Below are 8,297 nucleotides of genomic sequence, written 5' to 3' on the forward strand. Positions count from 1 at the left end.
TTCTAAGAAACAGTTGTTTATCTGATAAAATTAATATTTGTTCTAACACAGGGTTCTATTTAGAAAAGTACTTACTTTATAGTCACAATACATGAAAAGGGAAAGTGAGTTAAGTGGAAAGGTGAATTTACAGACTTATATAACCTGATCTAAGATTGTTACATCTGTTTCAAAGTGACTGTGTGTTTGAATAAGACCCAAGTTCATTGCATTTACTTGTTCTTATGACTAAGCATGAAGAAACTGACAATGTATCTCCTCCCCAGGGTGGAGACCCCGCTTTGTTAATGTTACTCTACACGTGGTTTTAACACTTACTACGGAGTTACGAAATGCACAGGACCTCTGAAACCTGACAGACACAGTAACCTGTGAAGTGTTTAGCTGTAGGTGAGAACTGAGCTCAACCTGAGGGTACAGAGGGACAGAGTATGTGCTCCACCTAAGGGTATTCACATTGCCTCAGGGGAAAAGAAGGTACAGACCAAAGGAAGACCTGTAGACATGATTCAGCTTGCCTCTGGCCTTCTTATTAGCCCTGATTAAAACAAGGAAATTCCATAAACTAGGGTTTCACCTTCAGTGGACTGGATCTCCTGGTAGATCTAGAAGCTCATCGGTAAATAGAAAGAAAGGTGCTGTTCACTTCCCTGCTTCATCAGGGACTTGACCATTAACCTCCTTCCTTTATAGAAATTCCACTATACAACCTTCACCCATACAGGGAGAATCAAAATATAAGGCAAGTGGAGGTGGTATGGGCTTGGATTTTACTTATGTAAAATAGTGATAAAAAGGTGGCACAGTAATAAAAGGTAGCACAGTAATAATTTCAGCAGCAACAATGGCAACTTTAATTTGGAGAAAAAAGATAAATATAAATAAATCTCTTTGGGTTAAAGTGTAGTCACTATGTTATAATTAAGACATGTTTAATGCTCATGCATTTTGTTTAATATCCAAATGTCATTCCAAATTCAGAATTGTGTTTGTATATATCATAAAACATAAAAAAGACCTGTGTTCATAAATTGGGCATGTGTACCTAATGTGGGCCACATATGGACCTAATGCCCACATAATTCAAATCTTTCATTCTTCAGATGGATGAACAAAGACAGAGAGATGGATCTATTTATTCCAAGTGATAAAACATGTTAGAGTTGGAGCTGAAGCCAAATCTTACAATATCTGCCTATTTATACACTTCTCCCTTTTCTAAGGAGTTTCTCTTCTAAGGTGTGACAGTAGATAGAACTATATTCTTTGCAAAATTGCTTTTAAAAACTAACAAGGTAATACATACAACTTGAATACAAACAATGCAGATATCTATGAAGTAAATTTAAATTAAAAGTAAAATTATTCCCTTTGCTCACTCTTGGTGACACCCCCTAGGCCTTACCACTTTAACAAATTTGTGTGTATTCTTGCAGAGTTCTCATGCGCATACAAAACATATACAGGCTGGGCACAGTGGCTCACGACTGTAATCCCACCACTTTGGGAGGCCGAAGTGGGTGGATCATTTGAGGTCAGGAGTTCCAGACCAGCCTGGCCAACATGGTGAAACCCCATCTCTACTAAAAATACAAAAATTATCTGGGCATGGTGGCAGGCACCTGTAGTCACAGCTACTCGGGAGGCTGAGACAGGAGAATTGCTTGAACTCAGGAGGTGGAAGTTTCAATGAGCCTAGATCGCGCCACTGCACTACAGCCTGGGTGACAGAGTGAGACTCTCTTTGAAGAAAAAAAAAAATATACAATACGTGTATACTTATTTAATTCTAGTTTGTTGTCACCAAAATTGGATTCTACTTTTGCAATTTGATTTTTTTCTCCAATAACATGTCATGCTCTTCCTTCCATATGTAGACAGCTTATTATTTATGTGCAAAGCACTCCATGGTAGGTGAGCCATAGTTATTTTCAGCATTTCTCTATTGATAGTTTGCTTTCCACTATTTTTGGCTAGTACAAAAACATGTCACTGTATATCTTTCTTTTATGTCCTTTATCAAGTGTGTTAATATTTCTATAGCGGAGGTTCCTAAGTGTGGAATTTCTAGGTCAAAGTGTTTTTGCCTGTGTAAATTTTGGTTGTAAAATTTGGTATGTTCTACCAAATTGCCATCAAAAAAGCAAAGAAAAGAATGTGTCAGTCTACAGCCCAGCAACAGTGAATGCAAGAGCTCTCTCTAACACCGAGTGCCATCGAGGATGGTGTTTGTACTACTCCTTTGTATTTACAGGAAGAAAGTTCCCAGATCTTAACAGGAACTAAAATAAACAGAAAGGGGAAATTGATTGAGCCAGTTTGAGAGGGAAAGGTGCAGCAGTGGCCTTAGAGAAGAACTCTATCACCAGGAACTTCAAGGTCACCAGAGTGCAATGGTGCTCCTTTTCCATACCTTTCTGCATGTCAGCTGCATTAGCTCAGTGGGCTCCTCCATGAGCCCCTCTTCCCAGTTTTTAAGAAATGAGACACACTTCTGAGTTCATACACTAATAAGTTCCATTAGCAAATAGTAGAAGAGGCTTCTTCCTCCTACCATTAGTTTGAAAAGCCCTAGGGAAAATTCCGATTGGCCAGCTTGCATCACAGGCTCACCACTTAGAACAATTACGGTGTGTGTGTGTGTATGTGTGTGCTCACACACAGGAGTGTGAAGTACTGTGCTTGAATCAGTTGAAAGTGTGTGCCCTGCCAACTCCTGTGCTTGATACCTACAAAAGGCAGAAAAGAAATGTTGGATTGGCTGATATTGTTGGAAATTTTATGTCTATGTTGGATATTTTATATATATGTCTGTGTGTGCATAACTAAAATAAATTGGTCATTTGAATGATTAAATTACCATCAAGCTGGAAATTTGCATGATTAATTTACCTTTAAACTGGTCGTTTAGACTATTGAATTATTAATTTATCCTTTGGAATCTTAGTTCAGCTTTTTACATGTAAAATAATTTTTGTTTGTTTTTGTTTTTTTGAGACGAAGTCTCACACTGTCACTCAGGCTGCAGTGCAGTGGTGGGATCTTGGATGATCCGCTTGTCTCTACCTCCCAAAATGCTGAGATTACAGGCCTCAGCCACCGCGCCCAGCTGTAAAATAATTTTAAAGTTATTCAGATGTTTAAACAACTGCCATGGACAGCATCTCTTAGCCTAAAATGTGTTCTCTAAAAGTTTGTTACAAGTTTAGATTGAAGTAATAACTGCAGACTCATAGTAGAAAGACTTTTATGACCTACCTTCTGAAGCCTAATTCTGTCAGCTCGTCATTCTCTGACAACCTTTCTTCCGTTGCTGGCGAGGAGTTGCGATCCTTTGAAGGAGAAGAGGCACTCTGGTTTTTAGAATTTTCAGCTTTTCTGCTCTGGTTTCTCCCCACCTTTGTGGTTTTATCTGCCTTTGGTCTTTGATGTTGGTGACCTACAGATGGGGTTTGGTGTGGATCTCCCTTTTGTTGATGTTGATGATATTTTTCTGTTTGTTAGTTTTCCTTCTAACAGTCAGGTACCTCAGCTGCAGATCTGTTGGAGTTTGCTGGAAGTCCGTCCACTCCACACCCTGTTTGCCTAGGTTGGTGGGAGTGTAAACTAGTTCAACCATTGTGGAAGACAGTGTGGCGATTGCTCAAGGATCTAGAGCTAGAAATACCGTTTGACCCAGCCATCCCATTACTGGGTATATACCCAAAGGATTATAAATCATGCTACTATAAAGACACATGCACACGTATGTTTATTGTGGCACGATTCACAAAGCAAAGACTTGGAACGAACCCAAATGTCCATCGACGATAGATTGCATTAAGAAAATGTGGCACATATACACCATGGAATACTATGCAGCCATAAAAAAGGATAAGTTCATGTCCTTTGCAGGGACATGGATGAAGGTACAAACCATCATTTTGAGAAACTATCACAAGGAACGAAAACCAAACACCCCATGTTCTCCCTCATAGGTGGGAATTGAACAATGAGAACACTTGGACACAGGGTGGGGAACATCACACACTGGGGCCTGTCATGGGGTGGAGGGCGGGGGAAGGGATAGCATTGGGGGAAATACCTAATGTAAATGAAGAGATAATGGGTGCAGCAGGCCAGCATGGCACGTGTATACCTATGGAACAAGCCTGCACACTGTGCACACGTACCCTAGAATTTAAAGTATAATAAAAAATAAAAAAAAATGCAGCAATAACGTTTTTTGTATATTTGATTCAGGTTGTTTTGAACAGTTTCCTGATACAAATTATACAACCCTGAGATTCCTCAATCAAAGGATATGAAGGTTTCAATGATAATTGATATATATATATCAATACCTATTTCAAATACATACTTTATCAATTTAATGCTGCCTCAAAATAACACACTTTTGTCAGAATTGGGTATAGTGTTTTTTAAAAACCTAGTGATTAAAAATAGTGCCTCATTTACATTTTAATTACATTTCTATGATTACTACAGATGTTTGACTTCTCTTGGGTGCTGTAAAATTATTCTCTTCTGAGTATATCATTTTTTTCATGATGTTTACCCAATTCTCTATTAAGGCTTTCAATCCAACTAATTTGTAAAGTCTCTTATTAAACTGCAGTGCTGCAAATTAAAACCACAATGTGGCCCAGCACGGTGGCTCACACCTGTAATTCCAGTACATCGGGAGGCCAAGCCTGGCAGATAATTGAGGCAGGAGTTGAAGACCAGCCTGGCCAACATGGTGAAACCCCATCTCTACTAGAAACTCAAAATTAGCCGGACATGCTGGTACATGCCTCTAATCTCAGCTGAGGCAGGAGAATCACTTGAACCTGGGAGGCAGATGTTGTTGTGAGCCGAAATCACGCCACTGCACTCCAGCCTGGGCGACAAGAGCAAAAAGCAGTCTCAAAAAAAAAAAAAAAAAAAAAAAAGTGGTGTATATACCCAACAGAATACTATTCAGCCTTAGAAAAGAAAGAAATCACGTCATTTGCAACATGAATGAGCCTAGAGGATGTTATAGTGAGTGAAATAAAGCAAAGGCCAGGCATGGTGGCTCATGCCTGTAATCCCAGTACTTTGGGAGGCAAAGGCAGGTGGAGAACTTTAGCCCAGGAGTTCGAGATCAATCTGGGCAGCATGGTGAAATCCCATCTCTACAAAAAATACAAACATTAGCCAGATGTGATATTGGACGCCTGTAGTCCTAGCTACTCAGGAGGCTGAAGTGGGAGGATCTCTTGACCAGGGGAGGTGGAGACCATGGTGAGTGACCCGTGTTTCTCTCAGTGTACTACAGCCTGCATGACAGACTGAGACCCTGTCTCATAAAATAAATAAATACATAATAAAGTTTTAAAAAGCAAGCACAGAAAGACAAATACTGCATGATCTCACTTATATATGGAATCTGAAAACATTGAACTCATAGTTGTAGAGAGCAGACGGGTGGTTGCCCGAGGTAGGGGCTGGGGAGGGATTGGGGAGATGTTAGTCAAATGATACAAAATTTCAGATAGGAATACTGATAGAAATCTATTGAACAGCATGCAACTGCAGTGAATAACTATGTATTGTGTACTTGAAACTTGCTATAAGAGTAGATTTAAAACTTGTTCTCACAACAATAAAATCAGTATGTGAGGAAATGAGTGTGTTAATTAGCTTGATTTTGTCATTCCACAATGCATACATATAGGAAACCTCATGTTGTACCCCATAAACATATATAATTTTTACTTGTCAATTTAAAATTAAAATTTAAGTAAATTATAAAAATAAAATGAAATAACATACACTAAAAAAGACTTTTATTTATTAAATCTCCACAAGAAGTCTAAGTTATGAAGGAAAATAAAATTCCAGGAACAGTAAAATCAATCAGAAATGCCCTACTTCAGTGCATTCCGAAATTTGTCTGACAGAGTGGAAATCCAGTTCTTCACTAAGTCATTGTTTTGGAACAGTTAGTGAGTGTGTATATATGTTTGTGTGGGCTCATATACACAAATTAAATTCATGGTAATGTAAGCATTCAAAATATCAGTTTCATTTAGTTATGTACACATACACAAACACACACCCCCCACACACATTTATAAAATCAGCCATTCCACCAAAACTAGCTACTTAGAGTCTCATCTCTCACTGAAGATTCAAAACAGAAACGTGGATTTAGGGAGGCATGATGGTTCATCCTCTCTTGGAGCCCAGTTGGAAGTTGACTGACTGATTCAGACATTATAATTGATTGGTCTGGGTGAAAGAATCCACTTTGACTCTTAATTGAACACCTACTATGTGCCATTGTTTTAAGGCTTGCCATGTGTTGCTTCATTCCTTCCTCACCATTACCTTATGATCACACTTTAAAGATAAAAAAGTAGAAGCGCAAAAAAGTTATTTGTCCAATATTACAAAGCTAGTAAGTGGTGGAATTTGAATTTGAACCCAGATATCTAACTCCAGAGCCTAAGTGCTTCACCCATCTCACTGTGGTGGCTCTAGAGAAAAACAGGTAAGTGCACATTAAGAAGCAAATGCCTCTGAGTTGTTCTTAATTTTTTTTATTTTAAATTTTAAAATTCATATAACCATTTATTCTGCGCCTGCGCCGGGGGTGGGGAAAAAATCGGGTGCGGTAGGGGAGGTTCAGAAAGCCCCACAGAAGGAGAAGAGGCCCAGGAGAGAAGACTGTCAGGAAGCTGGTGGGCCTGGGGGCTGGCCTTGTTCTCAGAGGCCAGGGAAGTGCAGGTGGGCTGAGTGAGGTTAGTGGTGTAACGACAGAGGTCTTCGACAGGCAGAGGGATGGGGACAGGCGCGAGGGGCCTTGGCAGCGACCCGGGGGAATGGGAGTTGGGGCTCGGGCCTCGGGGAGGCGATTGGTTGAAGGACAGAGGTCTGGGAGGGGCAGAGCGATGGGGACATGGACGGCGGCCCGCTGCAGGGACTCCGGGGCACTGGGAGTCGGGGGTCGGGGATAGTCTTGGCTTTTTGCCCTCTCCTGCCGCCTGCTGCTCCAGTTTCTTTCGCTTTGCGGCGAGGTGGGCAGGGTGAGCTCTCGGGACGAATGGCAGTTTTGGAAGAGGCCTGGGGCTAAGGACAGGCCAGGGCGGCGGGAGAGGCGGACCGGTGGCGTGGCTGGATCTGGGCGCGCTGTCGGACCTTCCACATCACCAGCTGCAGGCAGGCGTTTGCGTCCTCGCTGGAGTTGTGGCCGTCCTGGCTGTTCTGGATGATCTGTGCCAGGTAGTCGGCCGCGAGATTCCTGAGGGAGCGCTTGTAGGGGAAACCCAGGTAGTGCGGGAAGAGCACGGCCGTGTCCACCACGGTGCTGTGGATGAGCTTCAGGGCCAGCAGGTCGCTCTCCAGGCTGTGCCCGATGAGGATGGTTTGGGCGCTGAAAAAGCTCAGCAGGATGGCTTGGACTTGGGGCAACGTGATGCTCGTCTTGGCGACGTCGGCCTCGGTGACTCCGGAAAACCTGGTGTTGTAGTCCACGATCTCGTTGTCGGGCTTGACGAAGGTGTCGTACACCACTCGCATGTCGGCGTCCACCACGGTGACGCGGGTCAGCTCTAGGCCATGCGTGGTGTAGCACATCTCACAGTCCAAGGCGTAGATTCCTGGATAAGCGTCTCTGGACAACTCTTTCTTGAAGGTCTCCACGAAGCCATCGAGGCTCTCCTTGCGGCCGTCCCGCACGTGCTGCTTTGCCACCTGGCAGCCCACAGAGCCAGGAGCAGCTGCACAGCAGGTGTACTGGCTAACCCGGCCTCCAGCCACCTGGCTCGAGCGGACCCGCCCCCAGTGATAATAACACAACTGGTCGCGTACACAGCGGCCCGAGGAGGACACCAGGTACTCGGTGCCACAACGGCAGCAGACCCTGCAGGAGGAGTCGCCGGGCCCCTTCCCCTGGCCAGTGAAGAGGACGGCGCCTCCGGGCCGCTCGGGGTGCGGGAAGGGGTAGCCGTTCTCCTTGAGCTGGTCCTGGGTGAGCAGGAACTCCTGGAGGCGGCTGTACAGGGCGGCCCTGCTGAGGCCGGGCATGGAGCTGGGGGTCAGGCCCTTCAGTCTCTTGAGGGTGTTCAGGACCACGTTCAGGTACCTGTTCTTGTTGGGGCTGCAGTCGTAGGCCACCTTCTCCTCGTTCAGCGCCTTCTCCTCGGCCTCCTGCTTGGAGGCGCAGAACTTGAGACACTCTTCGGTGAACAGTTGGAGATAGCCTCGGCGGAGGACGGTGGGGACTTGGCACCCAGAGCTTCGGAGGATAATGGGTTTCTTCAAACTCG

At 43.7% G+C, this 8,297-nt stretch overlaps 1 pseudogene; it reads right to left on the bottom strand.

Annotated features, from left to right (window-relative positions):
- Window positions 6,904-8,039, bottom strand: REXO1L8P (REXO1 like 8, pseudogene; annotated as a pseudogene).

This window comes from Homo sapiens, chromosome 8 (assembly GCF_000001405.40).
Source record: "Homo sapiens chromosome 8, GRCh38.p14 Primary Assembly".
Classification (NCBI taxonomy): domain Eukaryota; kingdom Metazoa; phylum Chordata; class Mammalia; order Primates; family Hominidae; genus Homo; species Homo sapiens.